We start from the raw sequence: 18,210 nt of genomic DNA on the forward strand, positions 1-18,210 counted from the left end.
CTCTTCTCTTCCTCACTGAGTTCTCCACCCTTTGTCTAGAGAGAGCCAAAGCCTCTGCTCTAAAGGGTTTCTTTTTTCTCCCTGGGAGGAAAAAGGTGAAAAAGGTATCCAGGGTGCTGGGCAGATCCAGATAACTGATCACTCCATGAGAACCAAGCACTCACCTGTGTCTGGTCTGCAATGCATCCACATTCTTCTCCACAGCTCAGAGTGGAAGCTCCTTTTCTAGTTATCCCACACTCAGGGCTTCTGAAACTCACCACTTTCCCTGAGTCCCTTGTCAATACCTAGTTTTGCAAATTCCACCTGGGTTTCAGGAGATCGCAAAAGCTTTGAGATCTGCCTGCAACTCGCTGTGAAAACCTTGGACAAATCCCTTCCCTGCGGACTCCTGGGTTGTACTACAGTGAAGAGGTTGAATTAGATCAAAGAGGTAAATCCTAGCACACATGCCACCATTTCTCATCCAATGCCCATGGCAGACATTGCTAATCAACTACGGCACTCTCTTTTCAGGATGCATTCCAGGAAGCTGCTAGTCATCATTCAACATTAGCTCATGACATGAAACATCTTTGCCACTCCTGGACTAGCTGATCTCTGAAGGCCCTTCTCTCATTGACAGCAAGGATTGTGTGGCCTGGTTGAATCAATATTACTTCTCCCTAGTTCCCACTTTTCCCTCCAGCTCATTCTTTTGATCATCCCCATCCCTCCCTCTCTCTCATCTTGCCTTGTTTCCAAGTCTCTGCCGCTGAGTCCATGTAAACCCTAGATGATGTCTGGGTCTCCAAGGTTCTGTTTACTGTCACTCAACTTCAGGCTCTTTGAAGGTTACATTTTCCAGGCAGTCACACTTACACATGTTGGGCGGTTCCGTGGCATTGGCTCAGGGGAGGGAGGCAGTGATCGAGACATCAGAGACAGTCAGAGGAGGAGCAGGAGGAATAAGACCAAAGAAATATTAAGAAAGAGATAACAGGATAGACAGACAGTGGGGCTAGAGTTAAATTTATGTATCAAGGCCATCCTGGTAAGAACAGGGAGCAGGAGTTTTAATGGAATTTATCCTGGACCCCCAAGGTCACAGTGGGAGGGAGGATCAGGGAGGACCTAAAAGCAAAGGACAAAGGGAGCATATAAATTAGTAGCTCAACTGACAAACGTGAAAGAGGTGAAGGGATTCTTTGGTGGGGGAAACTATCAGGAGTTGCCATAATAAGATGGACTTAACCATGCTTCACGAGTGTAAAAGCATCCACTAGTTATTGATCAGAAGAGTTTGGTAGAGTCAGGCAGGTGCTGGCTAGCAGCCAATTAGAGGCTTAAAGCAAAGCCCAACCCAGGTTGCAGGACATGTCTTATCTCCTCAGAACTGCCTGGAGCAGTTTTAGAGTTTCAGGAAATGCTACCAACTTTATCAGATGGGCATGTGCACTGGTGGGGCATGCACAAGGGCCAACCAGCCAAGAGCGGAATGACCAGAAGAAAGCCCATGTGGCTGTGCACAGTGGCTCATGCCTGTAATCCTAGCACTTTGGGAGGCTGAGGCAGGAGGATTGCTTGAGTCCAGGAGTTCAAGACCAGCCTGGGCAACATAGCAAGATTCTGTCTTGCTACAAAAATTTTAAAAATTAGCTGGGTGTGGTGGCGCATGCCTGTGGTCCCAGCTATTTGGGAGCCTGAGGCAGGAAGATCTCTTGAGCCTGTGGGGGTGGGGGCGTTCAAGGCTACAGTGAATCATGGTGATGTCACTGCACTCCAGCCTGAGCAACAGAGCAAGACCCTGTCTCAAAAAAAAAAAAAAAAAAGGAAGAAAAGGAAGGAAGGAAAGAAAGAAAGAAAAAAGAAAGGAAAGAAAGAAAAAAGAAAAGAAAGAAAGAAAAATAAGGAGGAGTGAAGGAGGGAGGAAGGGAGGGAGGGAGAAAGGAAGGAAGGAAGGGAGGGAGGGAGGGAAAACAAAGCCCTACATGCTATAGGTCTGGGTTCAAATCCTGGCTCATCTACTTACTGAGACTTTGGTCTCAGTTTTCTCCTCTGTAAAGTGAAGACAAGCAGCACCTAACTCATAAGGTTGTTGAGTATTAAATAAGAATGCATGAGGCTGGGCGCAGTGGCTCACGCCTGTAATCCCAGCACTTTGGGAGGCCAAGGCGGGTGGATCACCTGAGGTTGGGAGTTTGAGACCAGCCTGACCAACATGGAGAAACCCCATCTCTACTAAAAATACAAAATTAGCCGGGCGTGGTGGCACACGCCTGTAATCCCAGCTACTCGGGAGGCTAAGGCAAGAGAATCACTTGAAGGTGGAGCTTGCAGTGAGCCGAGATTGTGCCATTGCATTCCAGCCTGGGTGACAGAATGAGACTCCATCTCAAAAAAAAAAAAGAATGCATGTAAAGGGCTTGGCACAGTGTCAGGCTTGTGGCTGATAATAAATGGTAGCCGGTAATGTTAGCATTAGTATTCTCATGGGCAACATGTCTAAGGGGTCCCTTGAGTGACCCCTACTACACTCAACATATATACATAAACTTTAATGGTGGGATCCTCCAGGCACACCACCTAATTTGCATGTGATAAATTTTGTCTAAACCAAAAAAGGCTGTAATTCAAAATATATGCTCTTGAGTGGGATTGCTCATGTATAGGAAGAGCTGGACAGCTCCTGTGGGCCTAAGAGGAAGAACTGATTCTTCCCTAGGATGCAAAAGCCAGGTGTGGGGGAACAGCAGAAGTGCTGGGCTGACAAAGGCTCGGAAGAGACCCAAAGATGCTGACAAGAGGGGCAGGTTCTGGTCAGTTCTTTGTCTCCTTGACAATGCTGTGGTTGGGGCCCTGTCCGGGCTGCCTGCCCTGCCCAGCACTCCTTTCCTCCTCCCTGAGAAGGAAATGGAAGAAAACAGGACTTCTGCTGTCTGGAAGTCTGCATGGCTGGGGTTGGCAAGGGCCAATCAGGCCTGTAGGCTGGCAGTCAGGACGCCAGTCAGCTGGGGATGAGGAGCTAGGGATGAGGCTGACGGGGCAACTTCCCAGAGACCCTACAGCTGGCCGCTGCTGCCTTCCTGAGGCTGTGCAGTGGGGTGTGGAAGGAGCCAGGGATCGTCTGACCCCATGTGTCATGCCCGCTGACTCTTCCATGTGGCACAGAAAGAAACCTCAGCTTCCCAGTAGACTTCTATCCCCAGGACATGAGTGGTGCCCACCTGAGCCTGAGACCACAGTTGCTTTTCAGATGTCTCTCAGCAGGGTTCCACATCGTCATGCCCTGGCACAAGCACAGAGGTTAAGGGGAACCTGGCACAGAGGTTAGGCTGTGGAGTCAAGCAGACCTGAGTTCAAGTCTCAGCTTTGCCATTTACTGGTGTGACCTAGGGCCAGCTCTGTGAGCGATCCAGGCCTCAGTTTCCTTACCCAGAAGTTAGGGATGATAAAAGGAAGTTCCTTACAGGACCAAGTGAGAATGATGCATGTGAAGTATTTGGCCCAGGTCTGGCGCATAGTAAGTGCTTGAAAAATGTTAGCCATAGTTCTTCTAATTAATTATTACTATAATTTGTGAGGTCTCCAAATGTACTATGATTGAGCAGTTACATAAATTCCAGCCAGAAGTCCATATGGCCCAGTATGGGAATGACTGTCTCCAAAGTCCAGGGTGATTTGATCCTAGTCTTTCTGTCACACTGAGGATGTGGCGCAGGTCAGGGCTGGAGTCCCTTTAGACCACTGGAGAGCCTCCCTTTCCGTGGAAACCCATGGGGAATCTTAGATGATATAGCTCCTGGATTCCCTTTGCCCTCAGGCCTGGCCAGGGTGCGGAAGGAGGCAATGGGGATGGGGAATATATGCCTCTGAACAGCTGTGCCTGAAGTGGCCCGCTTCCACATCCCTGGGACCAGGACGCCCTCCAAGGGAAAGGACCCAAAGCTGCCTGGATTTCCAAAGATTTTGGTCCAGACTCTAGATGGTCAGGGCTGGTGGCTTGGGGAAGCAGCCCCCACTTCTCTGAGCCATTGCTGAGAAAGTAGGAGGGAACAATGGCTTATGGTGACAGACAAGAGGCCACGAGGAGACCCCAGACTCTTTTGCTAGGGACCTTAGTTCAAGAGCACCACCTGGCAGTATTCTCCTCCCCCTGCCTTATTTCTCCTCAGGAACAGACTGTGTTCCTGTGTTTACCTGGGGGGTGAGCTGGGTCTGGGTATTTCTCTGTATGTGGGCCCTTCCTTGTCCCCCACCCAACGGATGCCTGGGCTGGATTGTATATTTCCGGAGTTGCCTACTTGAATCACAGGCTTTTATTTTTAGAAGATTACAAATGCGGGGGCTGGAAGAGAGAACTGAGGGCCCGGAGCTGGGGTGGGGGAAGAAGTTCAGGGTCTGAATACGGTGCATATGGGACAGGAGTGGGGCAGGCACTAATAAGGAAGGAATAAGTGAGATGGTGGGAAAAAACGAGGTGAGGAAGTTGGGAGGGGTCCCACTCTCCCAGTGCCCCAGCACCCTGTGCGGGATCAGACTTTTCTCGGGCTGGGGAGGGCCTCTGGAGGGGAACGGGTCAAGGGCCACCTCTCCGGCATGTAGCTGGGTCCCCTGAGAGGCTGAGGAGCCTGGGAAAGAGATGAGAAAATCGCTCCCCTTCCCCCTCCCCCAGGCCTTTGGGACTGGGAGAGAAGCTTCCTGTGCAGACAACTTCTCCATCCCCTGGGCTAGGACGTCTTAACCCTTCTAGTGCTGGTATCAGAGAAACAGCAACACAGATGTGCACATACATTCTTGCAGAATGGCCCAAATGCTACGTCCCATACAGGTGTAGGCCTTGCTCTTGTTCTGCCGTGTTCAACGTGCACCTCCCAGCTCCTGACCCCAAAGCCCCAGATTACTCAAAGCAGCAAGAATTCAGCGGATTCTCCTACCAGAGCACAGACTGAGGAAAATGGAGACCCTTCACCTGGGCATGGGTGGCACAGCATCTCTTCCTTCACTATTGGGTAGTGAGAAGACATCAGACAGAACTTAGAGCTTGTAGAGTTAGGAAGTCCCCATCCTGCCATTAATAGGGAGCTCCAGGCTGACAGGAAAGGAGCCTTAAAGCCAAGAGAGCTGGTTTGCATTTCTGTCTCTGTGTATGACCTTGAGAAGTTACTTAACTTTCTTGACTTTAGGTGCAGCTTCTGAAAAACACGAGGAAATCAAACCAGAGATGGTCTGGTGCCGTAAGAGGCAAAGAAAGGATATCTTTCTTTGGCTTTTCATTCCCTGGAATCCCCTGACCAAGGCAGCCCCAAGTCTCCAAACACCGAATTTCAGGGCTTTCCTCTCCGTCTGCTCCATAAAGGCAAGAAGCCATTTGCTGTCTCCACCCCTGAATGACCATGCCCAGCATGGTATCTTGCACACAGTTGGCTTCCAATAAGCTTGTGATAAGCAACTAAATAGATACATGACCCACCTTGACTTTGGGATGGGATTTTTTTTTTTTCTTTTTCCATTGTCTTCTCAAGAGTACTAGACTAGAAGTTAGAAAGACCCGGCCCAAGGCTGGGCGCTGTGGCTCACGCCTGTAATCCCAGCACTTTGGGAGGCCGAGGTGGGTGGATCACGAGGTCAAGAGATCGAGACAATCCTGGCCAACATGGTGAAACCCCGTCTCTACTAAAAATATAAAAATTAGCTGGGCATGGTGGCACACACCTGTAGTCCCAGCTACTCAGGAGGCTGAGGCAGGAGAATCGCTTGAACCCGGGAGGCGGAGGTTGCAGTGAGCTGAGATCGCAGCACTGCACTCCAGCCTGGGCAACAGAATGAAACTCCATCTCAAAAAAAAAGAAAGAAAGAAAGACCCAGCCTTGGGTTCATGCTCTGACTGTTACTTACCACTTGTGAGGCTTGGGACAAGTCACATTGCCTCTCCAAGCCTCAATTTCATTTATCTGTCAAAAGGACGTTAGAAAGAAAGCATCTACCTTATGGGCCTGTTGTCAGCATAAATCCAAAAAGCCTTTGAAAACTCTAAGGTGATATACAAAAGCACGTAGGATTGTTATCGGTAATACTGGTAGTCCTAGACCTAATTTCAGGGGTGGTCTGAAGTGTGGCACTTTTGAGCCTGAGGCAGCAGCTTGACAGATGTATGATCTTGAGCAAGTTTCTAAACCTCTCTAAGCCTCAGTTACCTCATCTACAAAATGGGGATTCTAATAGTACCTGATAGTAAATATAAATGGTTTGCACCATGCCTGGCGCAGCAAACTCCATAAATAGTGGCTATTGTTATCCTCACCTCCCCCATTAACTCCTCCAGCAGCTTTGCCCCCACCTTCCCACCTCGAGGTGGTTGTTGCACCCATACCTTTCTTGCACAAAGACAGATATTCCCAGCTTTCTACTTTGGCCTGATTTGGATGAAAATTTATCTCCCAGAAGCTGCCTGCCTCCCAGCCCTGGAAGGAGACAGAGTAGGAGTGAGGGTTGCTCAGGGGAGGCCAGAGGCTGAGGGGCTTTGAATTGACTGTGTGTGTGGTGGGGTACGAGGATCAGAGGCTGACCCAGCACCCCCACCAGCCACCCCAGATCGAGGCTGCTCAGCCTGCCAGGCGGGGCACATTGATGCTGGGAGCTGCTTATCAGGTTAGAGCGGAGCCACTGTCTCTGGCTGTCTCTGCACATTACCCGACCCATCCGTCCTGCTCTCCTGCGCACCCTGCCTGCCCCCAGCTCTGCCTGCGCTAACTAGTTAATTGGATCTTGGCTAACCTGGTTATGGGCCAAGTCAGCCAACTCTCCTGCCTCCAGAAGCAGGGTGGGAGAGAGGCAGAGCCGCTGTGCATGTGTGCATGAGCATGTGTGTCTGTGTGCTGGAGCCTGTCTTTGGACTGGATCTTGGTCCCTAAGGTGAGCCCAGAGCACCCTGCCCCACTGTGACAGGTGGAAGGCACTGAGTCACACGACCTGATTCCAAAGCGCAGCCATACCACAAACATAGTCTATATGACTGGGGTGGGAAGCTGAACCTCAGCTTCCTCCTCTGTAAAATGGGGCTTATAAAATGTACCACCCAGGGTGGTACATTTTATCAAGAGAAACAGAACATTCACTTCAGTGCCTGGCACTTAGTAGGCACTCTGGGAATTACAACCAATCATCATCATCTTTAGTCACATTGGGTTCCTGCCATCCTCCCCAATCCTGGGGGGTTTGTAGGAAACATCTCAGGGTGGGGGGTAGGAGAAGCTTTCATTCACTGTTCTTTGCAGGTGTTTCCTCTGAGGCTCAACTCCAATCTCCTCAATTGTTCCTTATGCAAATGTTATGCTAATGATCACATCAGCGCTCCCCCGAGCCCAGCGCCAGGAAGGTGACGCGGGGCTGACTCCCCAGCTTTCACTTTGGCCAAGTCCCTCGCCTTCCTCCCCAAAAGAGGAGCAAATGCTGGTCCTCTGACAACACCAGTCCTCAGGGCAGAGAGAGAGAGACCTCGATGGAGAGAGAAACAATGAAAGGCCCCAGTCTTGGTAGGAGACGTGCAGCCTCGTCATCACCATAATCATCAACATCAAAAAGGCCTTTGGAAACTTCAGATTCTTCCCCGCCTTGTGCGGATTACTCTACAATTATAGAGGCCCAGCCCCCAACCCTGAGGAGCTGGAGCTGGGGCTGGAGGTGGGGAGGAGCTGGAGAGGGAGAAGGAGAGCTAGAATTTCTTTTTTTCTTTTCTTTTTTTTTTTTTTTTCTGAGACGGAGTCTCTCTCTGTCACCCAGGCTGGAGTGCAGTGGTGCGATCTTGGCTCACTGCAACCTGTGCCTCCCGGGTTCAAGTGATTCTCCTGCCTCAGCCTCCTGAGTAGCTGGGACTATAGGTGCCTGCCACCACGCCTAGCTAATTTTTGTATTTTTAGTAGAGATGGGGTTTCGCCATGTTGGCCAGGCTGGTCTCGAACCCCTGACCTCAGGTGATCCACCTGCCTCGGCCTTCCAAAGTGCTGGGATGACAGGCATGAGCCACCACACCTGGCCAAGAGCTAGAGTTTCTAACTGGCAAGTAATTTTCCTTAAGGACAGGGACCATGCCCAGCATCGCCCCTCCCCAGCGCTCAAGCTCCAGGAGGACAGAGGTCCCCCAATAAAGTGTAGAGATCAAAACTGAGGAAGTGATCCCAGCAGTTCTTGTCCCACCATGCTTTCACTTTCTTACCAGCTATGTGACTTCATCTCTTTGTCTTGTTTCCCCAACTGTAAGATGGGTATAATAATTCCCACTTTTTACGGTTTACTATGAGAATTAAATAAGTAAAATCTTGTAGGCCTCCAGGAAATTCAATCATAACTGGGGAATAGAGTGACAGCAAAGGAAAAGCAATTCCCATTCCTGTTCTGTGGCCCACATTAGCTGGGCGGTCAGATATAACCTGTCCCACTTTGCACCTGGCAACTTGATGTGGGATCAGTTTTCTGAACCAAGGCAAATAATAAAATCAAATGGTGTGTGCCCTCCCAGCTAGGTGGGTTTGAGATTGGGGTCTCCGCTGAACATTTAACCTGCCCTCTGGGTTAATGTTGGACAAGATTTATAGCTGGACTTTAGTCTTCTGACGCTATCCTCTAAATGGTATAAAAATAGAGATGGAGTTGGGGGAGGTGCCCAAAGGCGACACTGTAGGCACAAGTACAGCAGCAGGGCAGGGGTGCTGATGAGGCCAATGTGGAACCAGACTCTTCCCTATGGGGAACCTCCTGCTGACACTGCCAGGTTTCTGTGTGTGTGTGTTTGTGTGTGTGTGTGTGTGTGTGTGTGTTGTGTTTTTTTTTTTTTTTTCCTGAAATGCCCAGGCCTGTAGGCAGCTTTCTCCTGATCCCTCCAGTCTCTATAGAGAGGAGCTCCAGCACTGGGAGCCTACTCCAGGGTAGACCCAGCCCTCCAGGCATAGTAGGTGCTCAGTAAATACAAATTGGATGGACTAGAGAGATAGCCCCGAGGACACTGCCAAATAAATAACAAATTGTGCAAGCAGCAGGCCGCTGTAATTAGACCAAGGAGGACAGTCAGTTATTAATATCAGACACGTGGCAGGGTTAACAGCCACTGAGGGTGGGTACAATGAAGAGAGTCACTTTCTGCACCCTCAGGGACTTCCCTTGTGATGGCCTTCTAAAGAGGGCTGAACAGCACCAAGTGCCCTCGCTGCCTCTGGATCCTGCTGCCCTCCGCGTGCCTTGGTGCCCCACAACTAGGGCCCTGGTCCCTCCCATGTCCCCCTCCCTCCTACAACCCCTCAGCCCCTTATCTGCCCAGCCATTATGATGCCTATCAGTATGAAGCCCAGATGAGAGTTCTTTATACTCGAGCCTTATCTCCCCTGTGAGATTCTAAACTACCCAAGGGCAGGATTTATCCTGTGCCCATTACTGTATCCCCAGTTGTGGGAGCAGGGCCCCTGTCCTGTAAGGTCTGCTTAATAAATGCTTGTTAAAATGGAGAATTCCAGTGGGGAGGACAGGGAGCATGAGGGAGAGACTGGGAAAAAGAAAAGGAGGTTAGCTCGAAGAAGGGAGAGAGAGAGGAGGGAAGGGGGAAGGAGGGAAGAGAAGGAACAAAGGAAGTAAAGAAGGGAGGGAGGAAAGGGGTAAGGGAGAAAGAGAAGAAGGCTATATTATGTGTATTCATGGGATCGGGAACAGAAGCCTTGCTGTCCTCGGTGCTTAGAGTCTATTTGGAAAGATAAGGTGGCAGGTAAAGAGTCCTGCCCCTGCCCTGCTGCCCTGCATCTGCTGGGGCTGGCTGGCGTGTCCCTGGCCCGTACCTGCTCTCTGCCCTTCAGCCCCGGCTCCCCTTGGCAACTCGCCTCTGAGGAGGTACTCCTGGGAGCCTTCCAAGGGGTGGGGGCCGGGCAGGAACCCAAGCCAAGCCAGGGAGCATGGCCAGGAAGGAGTCAGCAAAGCAGATGCCGCCCCTCTCCTGCTGTCTTGATTAGAGAAATTGAGATGTTAATAATATTCTGAGATGCAAGGTGCTAATTAAAGTTAATTACTGTTTCCTTGTGAAGTAACCTCTCCTCGTGTTTACCAGGAACAAGGCTGCCAGCCGCTCCCCTGGCTCGTGCCAATCACGATGCCCGCTGCTTGGTGTACCCCTGCACTCTCACAGGTGCCCTCAGCTGCCCCAGACCAGCCTGGCCCAGTCCAGGCAGGCACAAGGATCTGAAGTTCCCAAGCTCTGCCTCTTGGCATGGCACCAGACCAGTCCTGCCAGGAAGCATGGGGACACATGGGCATAAGTGACCCCTGGGGCCTGGGGACAGGACTAGTGGCCTCAGCAGCTGGCACCCCTGTCCTGTGCCTCCTCCCCTCCTACAGAGTCTTGACCTGTCTCTTTCCAGCTCCTTGACCTGAAACAAGTTACTTAAACTCTTAGAACCTCAGTTTTCTCATCTGTAAACGGGGCTAATAGTTCCTACCTTGTACTATTGCTGAAAATCAAATGAGACACTGCCTGTAAAATGTTTACCACAACCACATAGCTGGAATTTAATAAACTCTCAATTAAAGATAACTGTGATTATTGTTGTCTTTGTTAATAATCATCCCCCCCAAATCCCTCTCCTGTGTGGTCTGACTGCAGGACTGGGGCTGGGTCACCTGGGTATATACATGTCCTCCGTGGATACGGGGACACCACCCAGCTACGCTGCACACATAATCCCACACCAAACCACCCATTTGCGAAGCACATCCCCTACCCACCTTGTGGAGGGCCTCCCGCTTGCTGGCACCCTGACACATCCTCTTCCCACGGCCCCCTCCCTCGTGTCAGCCTCACCCAGAGAAGTAGAGAGAAGAGGGGCAGCCGAGGAGTAGAGAGAACCCAGAAGTAGAGTTCTGCAAAACCGTGTGTGTGTGTGTGTGTGTGTGTGTGTGTGTGTGTGTGTGTGTGTGTGTGTCTCCACTCTTGTGTTCCAAGCTTCACAGGGCTTTGGGGGAGAGGCCACCCCCTTGGGCCAGGTTACCATGACAACCACTGCAGGTGCACACCTCCAATCTCCTCTGTTCCCTCACCCCCACCCCCACACACATAGCCACTCTGCCCAATTCCGGGGAGACACTGCTTCTCAGGGGAATCTCCCCACCCCCCAGCCTCCAGGCTATCTCGCCTGTCCCTTGTCTGCCTTCTCAGGAAGCCCCTGGGCTGAGGAGAGGGCCAAGGAACAAGGTGAGGCCCTGTGAAAAGATTACCCCTCAAATCCAGCTTCCTCTAGGGGCTTAGTGCTAATGAGTTAATATTGCCATCACCTTTGATTTGGGAAGACGGAGGCTTCCGAAGGAGCCTCCCTGGGTAGAGCATGGGTAATCAAAGGGTCAGGAGCCCCTGTGGCTTTGCCTCCTTCCCAGCCAGAGGAGGATCCCTGGCTCTTTCTATAAGGGCGGCCTGGCCAGCCCAGCCTGGGGCATTTCCTGTTTATGGGCTTAGAAGGACAAGGGGAGGAGATCTGGGGATGAGAGTGAGTTGTAGGGACATTGGTGGTACCAGCAGGCCCTGGGAAATCCTTATGACTCAGCTGCTCTTGGTGGGTCCCTGCACTCTACTCACTGTGGCCCCGGACCTGAATTTCAGGTTTCCCCTTGCCCTTGCCAAGGACACACTCTGTCCTTGACTCCCTATTCCAGGTTTGCCCTCCTCCTACCCAAAGCCCCTGCCTCTGGTGCCTCTGGGCACCTGAATCCCTTCCCCTAAAGTCCATGCCTCCTGGTTCTAGCTCCATCTGCTTCCATCCCAGGTCTCTCCTCTTCCCCATTGTCCCTCCCAACCCATCCCACCCACTCTCTTCACCATCTAACCCTCTTTCCCCCTTTTCACCACAGTTCTCACCTACAGCCCTACTCATCTGGAGCCTGCCCTCCTTCTCCCTCCCTTATCTTGCTCTGGCTACAGAATCTCTAAGCAGAATTCCTTCCATTCACTCATTCATGCAACAAATATTTTCGGTGGTGGTAAATAAGTTAAACAACGTTCTGGCCTCCTGCAAACTTTTATTCTAGTGGGAAGAGGCAGAAATTGAAGGCTCAAAAAGATTAAATAATCATAGATTGGAATACGGTCAAGGAAAGGGACAAGGGGGGCCTGTGACCAAGATTGAAAGGGACACCTTCTATTCCCTTACTTAGATATGTTGTCAGGAAAGGGTCATAGGCAGCAGCCCTACAGGAACTACCCTAAGACAGAGGTTTGACAGAGACAGTCCCCCAGCTCATCTGCAAGCAGGGGGCATGGAAGCCACTAGACTCGGATGCTGTCCCCCTCATTCCCACCTGTTCTGCTGGACACCTTCCTCCTTAGTCAACCGTGACAGAGACATAAATTCGGGAGACCTCGACCTCCTCCCTACCACCCCAACCTCTGCCTCTGCTCCCAACCCACCAGCTTTTTCCAGCTACTGGGGTCTCCTGATAAGGCAGAGGGAATGAGGGTTAAGGGTACCAGTCCTTGGGAGTCATGCCTTTTTTTGTCCCTACGGAGGGGGGGACATTGAACACAGGGGCAAAAAAAAGACATGACTGTGTAAACATACAGCCTAAAAGCCGTAGGAACCACTACAGCTATAAGAAATGAAATATACATGTGCTGGGAAGGTTTTGGAGGGATCTTGGCCAGGAAAGGGTTCACGAGAGCAGCTTTCCTGAGTGTAGCATTTTGAGGGTTGGGGGGTAAGGAGGGCATTGGGCATATGGAACAGCTCCAAGCCACATGGAGTCAAGCGCATATGCACAAACACAGCTCAGGGACTTTGCCCTTCCCAGCGCTGCAGCCCCATGAAATATTTAGGTTTCTGGACGCTGCTCATCCCTTATTGTCCCCCTCAGCAAGTACGCTTCCCCTACATCATTTATGGCTGTCCCCTTTCCTCCCCTCTGAGGCCTGCAGAGAAGGGAAAAACAGACCCTAAACTGAAGAAGTGTGTCCCTCCAGACCTTGTGGGCAGAGGGCAGGATCCCAGCCTCATCCCCTACACGGGGACACCATAGTGAGTAGCCCTGGGAGCCAGGCAAGGGGGATGGGTCCAGGAACTGAGAGGCAATTTGGGCCCCCAAGAATGGAGAAGCAGTGGCAGGAGGAGGGGATTGGAAGATGCAGCTGTCCTGGCTCCAGAAGGACCCCGGAGAAAGGACAAGAGTCTGGAGTGATGATAAAAGCTGCCATTTATTGAGCCCTTACAATATACCATGCTAAGCAACTTACGTGCATTCTCACCTTAAATCCACACTGCATTTTTGGAATGTATTATCCTCATCTCATAGTTAGAAAAAGTGATGCACAGAGAGGTTAAGTAACTTGTCTGAGACAGTCAGCCCGTCCAGCTCCAGACCAAACTCACACACACACACACACCCTGACCTGTGTGGGTATGTGGAGGGGAGTCGTGCCAGGCCAGCGTCCACCCTACTCTCTCTTTCTCCCCAAAGACAGGGCTCCTTTCAGTATAATCCCCTCCCCCTGCTCCTCCTCCACTCACCAGTGGATTGGCCTAGATTAGCAATCCTATATCCTTTATCTGTTCCATACACAAATATTGGTGGCCAGAGGTCAGGAGACTCCCAGGAAGGGGAGAAAGGAAGGTGAGGAGCTAGACAGGGTGACCAGGAGAGAGTGAGAGTGAGAGCTAGAGCTAGAGACAGAGATACATGGAGACAGACGAGAAGGGGCAGAGTAAAAAGCAAGTGGGCGTGAAGGGGTGCTAGTGGCAGCTGGGAGGCTGTTAGAGAGACCCATCAGCCTGTATAGTCACAGCCCACCCCATCCACTGGGTGGCGATAGGATGGATGGCAGGTGGTAGAAGGAACTCCCACCCCCACCTTCACCCAGCTTTGTCTCCACCCACCCTCCCCCTTCACACCCCTGCTTCTCCTTCCCCTCCCCGACTGTCTTCTCCGGAACAATTCTGATTAGACTAAGTGACTAAGAGGTGGTTTCGGCCCGAACAGCCAATTAGGCCAGGAAGAAGAGAAAGTAGCTTCCCCAAGTCTTCCACCCCTACCCACCCACCCCCATCTGCCTTTTTCACCTAGACCAAGTATTCCTATCCCAAGACTACAGACTGTCAAGAAAGTTCCCTTGATTCTGCCCACTCCTTACTGCCCACTGTGCCCCGTTACCTGTGTCCAGACAGCCCCTAATCTACTGCTTAGTCCCCACCCTGAGCTCCTCCGTCCTCAGGGCCCGAATCCACTCACGTCTTCCTGGCAGGGTTGTAAGGAAAGGGTAGGGCTCTCCTTGGGAGGTTATCTTTCTAAGTCTCTTTATTTCTCTTTCTCCCTTCTCCCTCTCCCTCTCTCTCTCCTCTTCCTCTGGCACTTATTTCTAACATCCGTGGACCAGGCCTACTGGTTGCCATGGAGACGCACGGTGCAGCTGGATGGTGAGTGTGTGTGAGAGGAGCTGTGTGCGCTCTGCAGCAGGGGCGGGCGGCTGTGTGTGAAATGTATCCATGTTACAGGAAGCATTCTTTGAGGGGGAATCAGACAGGGATCCAGGCCGCCTCCTTGAAGTGAGACCCAGGCCAAGGGGGAAACTCTAAAAGGCCTAAGCCCCTAAACCCCTTGGTCATCTTCATCTGGGAAACATCCACCCCTTGGCCCCTGCAGGTCAGATACTAAATTCTGTTTCATCCAGGATCTGTAATGGCAGATTCTGGAGGGGCCCTAACCTGCCCCGCCTGCCCAAGAGGACTAGGAACCCCAGAACCCACTGGGAAAATAGCGGGCTGAGACCTGTCCTGAAACTGGGAGGGGGGTTGGGGGCAGCTATAGAACAGGTGGAAGATTAAGCTGGACAGATGGGCTGACTGATGAAGCCCACATCTCCCCAATATTACTCCAGGGGATGGGGTTGGAGGGGAAGGGGTTTGGCCCAGCAGGATGGAAACTCCCCTCCATTTTTTTCTTTTTTCTTGAGACCGAGATTCAATCTTGTTGCCCAGACAGGAGTGCAATGGTGTGATCTCGGCTCACCGCAACTTCCGCCTCCCAGGTTCAAGCGATTCTCCTGCCTCAGCCTCCCGAGTAGCTGGGATTACTGGCATGCGCCACCATGCTCGGCTAATTTTTTTGTTTGTTTGTTTGTTTGTTTTGAGACGGAGTCTCGCTCTGTCACCCAGGCTGGAGTGCAGTGGCGCAATCTCGGCTTACTGCAAGCTCCGCCTTCCGGGTTCACGCCATTCTCCTGCCTCAGCCTCCCGAGTAGCTGGGACCACAGGCGCCCGCCACCAAGCCTGGCTAATTTTTTTGTATTTTTAATAGAGACGGGGTTTCACCATGTTAGCCAGGATGGTCTTGATCTCCTGACCTCGTGATCCGCCCGCATCGGCCTCCCAAAGTGCTGGGATTACAGGCGTGAGCCACCGCACCCGGCTGTATTTTTTTTTTTAGTAGAGACGAGGTTTTTCCATGTTGATCAGGCTGGTCTCGAACTGCCCGCCTCAGCCTCCGAAAGTGCTGAGATTACAGGCGTGAGCCACCACACCCGGCCAACTCCCCTCCATTTCTACTCACTTTGCCCAGAAGGTTAGAAGAAAAGAAACCCAGGTAACTGCCCTGAGGAATCTTAGCATCTTAGAGTACTGTGGCTATGCTCTTTTCTCCCACTTCAGGGCCTTTGAAGGCAATTTCCCTGCAGTTTCCTTGTATCTGGAATGTTCTTTGCCAAGCTCTAAAACTTCAGGGTTATTTTTTTTTTTCTCTTTTTTGAGACAGGGTCTCACCTTGTTGCCCAGGCTGGAGTACACTGGCCAACCTTCAGGTTTCCTCAGGGAAGCTTCCCTGGCTGGGTAAAGCAGCCCCCTCCCCTCCCCCACCTCCAGTTATCCTCCTTCTTGTCCCACTGTTTGTTTCCTTCACAGCACTTTAACACAATCTATAATTATCTCATTTATTTGTTTATTGTCTGTCTTTTCCTCTAGAATGCAAGTTCCCAGAGAGAGAGAGTAGGCATCATGCCTGTCTTATTCAGCACCATAATGCTAGCACCTGAGACAGTGCCTGCCACTTAGTAGGTGTTAGACGTGTGATAAATAAAAAAGTGGACAAATTATCTCATTGAAGCCCCACAATAACCTTTGGTGATGGTAAGCACTATTATCCCCACCTTACAGAGGAAGAAACTGAGGCTCAGCCACCTACCCAAGGTCATGCCACTAGAAATAAGTACAGCCAAATTTCTAACGTAGGTCTCTCTGACTCCAAGTTTGATGGAAAGTGGGGACCATTCTTTTGTTTGTTTTCCGAGATGGAGTCTTGCTCTGCTGTCCAGGCTAGAGTGCAGTGGCACAATCTCGGCTCACTGCAACCTCTGCCTCCCGGGTTCAAATGATTCTCCTGCCTCAGCCTCCCAAGTAGCTGGGATTACAGGTGCGCACCACCGTGCCCAGCTAATTTTGATATTTTTAGTAGAGATGGGGTTTCCCCATGTTGGCCAGGCTGGTTTCGAACTCCTGACCTCGTGATCAGCCCACCTCGGCCTCCCAAAGTGCTGGGATTACAGGTGTGAGCCACCGCGACCAGCCAGGGACCATTCTTAACCAGCCTAAACTGCACCTGGTTCCTCTTCCTGTCTGCCTGTGTATCTCCACTCCCAACCCAGGCATCCCCAGAGAAACCTGGGGCAGGGAAGGGAGGAACACAGAATCTGGAAGAATGTAAATCTGACCTTTTCTTTTACAGGCTTAAAATCTGTAAATGGCTCCTCTCCAACCCCTCAATCCAAGCACTTTAAGTTGACCAGCAGGTCCTTAGTTCTGGCCCCTGCCTTCTTCTCCAACTTCTCCTGCCCTCCTGAGCCACCTCACCTCCTCCTCCACCTCCAGACCCTGGCACATACTCCTCCTCAGCCTGCAAGGCTGACCCCTTCCTCAGTAGCCTATCCCTCATTTGCCCTTTGAAACTCAGCTCTGGCACCACCCCTTCCAGAAAGCCTCTAGACTTTGGAGAGGACAGCGCCTTTAGGTCTCCTGCCAGAATTTCCGGCTCAAGGCAGGGCCGAACACAAGATGTGGTCATTGTTTACCTGTCTGCCTTTCCCACAGAGACTGTGTGTCATTCTTGGGGTCCAGTACCCTGTGCCGGTCTGGCACATGGGAGGGGCTCAGGAAATGTTTGTAGAATGAGTTAATCAACCAGTGACAGGATTCTGGTACCCAGTCGGCCACCACATCTCCTCCAACTTCCTTAACTCCAGACATCTTTTCCTGGGCTAGGCCTTAACAGAAGGAACTCCTCACCCTTCACTGTGGGGTCAAGTCAGGGGTGGAGACAATGCGGGCCCCTCCCCCGCTGATTCAGCGCCTCTCCTAATGAGGTGAGGCCTCAGGTTTAGGAAGGGTTGCCACACCCACTGGTAGGGGGAGGGTCTGTGATTCTGTAACTGGAGGATAGGTAGGGGGCTTCGGTTGTAGACTGAGTAGGGAGCTGACCTAAGCCGGTAGATTCAAGTACTGCCCGAGAGATCTCTGCCTTTCCGCCCCACACCCCAGTCACCCCGCGCCAGGCTCTCGGCGCGTCAGATCCCGGCCCTGCGTTCTTCATCTCCTGCCCCGCCACGCCCCCAACTGCAGATCCAACTCGGGTCTCTCCGAAAGCAGCAAGGAGCCTCGGGGTGGGCTCTATGCCCCGTGATGCTCCGCGTCTGGGAACGGATGAAGGGGTGCCAGCAACCCCCGCCGTCCCCGCTGTCGATCCGGGTTTACACGAGGCTCATCCGGGATTAGTCCCTGCGGTCGGCTAATCCCAGCGGCTGGACCGACCCCGGGGTCCGGAGCGAGGCCCACACAGTACCGGCCTAGGGAGCTAGGGCGCGGGTCGAGCAAAAGCGCGCGACGCTGGGCGGGTGTGGGGGTGGGGAGGGGCGGAGGAGGGAGCAACGCCCCGGGAGGCGGGGCCAGGAACCGGCTGATCCGGTCTCTGTTTTCCGACCTCTCCGGAGCGGGTGTTTACCCGGGAGCCGGACGGAGGAGGCCGGGGCCGGTCGAGCCCGGAAGGGGGGAGGGGAGCGCAGTCGGAGACCGAGGCTGAGACCTTTTCGGTTCCTTTCCCCTAAATCGACTTCCAACCCTCGTTCCTGAGCGTGGGAGAACGCGGCAGACAGACAGATGTCTCCCGCCCCTTATCCTATCCAGTTCCGCAATTCACACTCGTTGCCAAAGAGTGGGGAGCGGGAATGGATACACC

General features: G+C 52.1%; 7 annotated features.

Moving 5' to 3' along the window:
- Nucleotides 6,895–7,633: an enhancer, noted in NCBI's record as "OCT4-NANOG-H3K27ac-H3K4me1 hESC enhancer chr5:141218303-141219041 (GRCh37/hg19 assembly coordinates)". NCBI's record gives its function as "activates a minimal SCP1, AML or CMV promoter by ChIP-STARR-seq in naive and primed H9 embryonic stem cells {active_cell/tissue: H9 hESC(naive and primed)}" and the evidence as "EXISTENCE:reporter gene assay evidence [ECO:0000049][PMID:30033119]".
- Nucleotides 14,261–14,555: a silencer, noted in NCBI's record as "tiled region #8612; HepG2 Repressive non-DNase unmatched - State 22:ReprW, and K562 Repressive non-DNase unmatched - State 7:EnhWF". NCBI's record gives its function as "represses a minimal TATA promoter and a strong SV40 promoter by Sharpr-MPRA in HepG2 and K562 cells {active_cell/tissue: HepG2 | K562}" and the evidence as "EXISTENCE:reporter gene assay evidence [ECO:0000049][PMID:27701403]".
- Nucleotides 14,933–15,754: an enhancer, noted in NCBI's record as "H3K4me1 hESC enhancer chr5:141226341-141227162 (GRCh37/hg19 assembly coordinates)". NCBI's record gives its function as "activates a minimal SCP1, AML or CMV promoter by ChIP-STARR-seq in primed H9 embryonic stem cells {active_cell/tissue: H9 hESC(primed)}" and the evidence as "EXISTENCE:reporter gene assay evidence [ECO:0000049][PMID:30033119]".
- Nucleotides 16,511–17,067: an enhancer, noted in NCBI's record as "H3K27ac-H3K4me1 hESC enhancer chr5:141227919-141228475 (GRCh37/hg19 assembly coordinates)". NCBI's record gives its function as "activates a minimal SCP1, AML or CMV promoter by ChIP-STARR-seq in naive H9 embryonic stem cells {active_cell/tissue: H9 hESC(naive)}" and the evidence as "EXISTENCE:reporter gene assay evidence [ECO:0000049][PMID:30033119]".
- Nucleotides 17,183–17,272: an enhancer, noted in NCBI's record as "active region_23313". NCBI's record gives its function as "activates an Ori minimal core promoter by ATAC-STARR-seq in GM12878 lymphoblastoid cells {active_cell/tissue: GM12878}" and the evidence as "EXISTENCE:reporter gene assay evidence [ECO:0000049][PMID:35858748]".
- Nucleotides 17,626–18,182: an enhancer, noted in NCBI's record as "NANOG-H3K27ac-H3K4me1 hESC enhancer chr5:141229034-141229590 (GRCh37/hg19 assembly coordinates)". NCBI's record gives its function as "activates a minimal SCP1, AML or CMV promoter by ChIP-STARR-seq in primed H9 embryonic stem cells {active_cell/tissue: H9 hESC(primed)}" and the evidence as "EXISTENCE:reporter gene assay evidence [ECO:0000049][PMID:30033119]".
- Nucleotides 17,833–18,082: a silencer, noted in NCBI's record as "silent region_16462". NCBI's record gives its function as "represses an Ori minimal core promoter by ATAC-STARR-seq in GM12878 lymphoblastoid cells {active_cell/tissue: GM12878}" and the evidence as "EXISTENCE:reporter gene assay evidence [ECO:0000049][PMID:35858748]".

Source organism: Homo sapiens, chromosome 5, assembly GCF_000001405.40.
Source record: "Homo sapiens chromosome 5, GRCh38.p14 Primary Assembly".
NCBI classification, from domain to species: domain Eukaryota; kingdom Metazoa; phylum Chordata; class Mammalia; order Primates; family Hominidae; genus Homo; species Homo sapiens.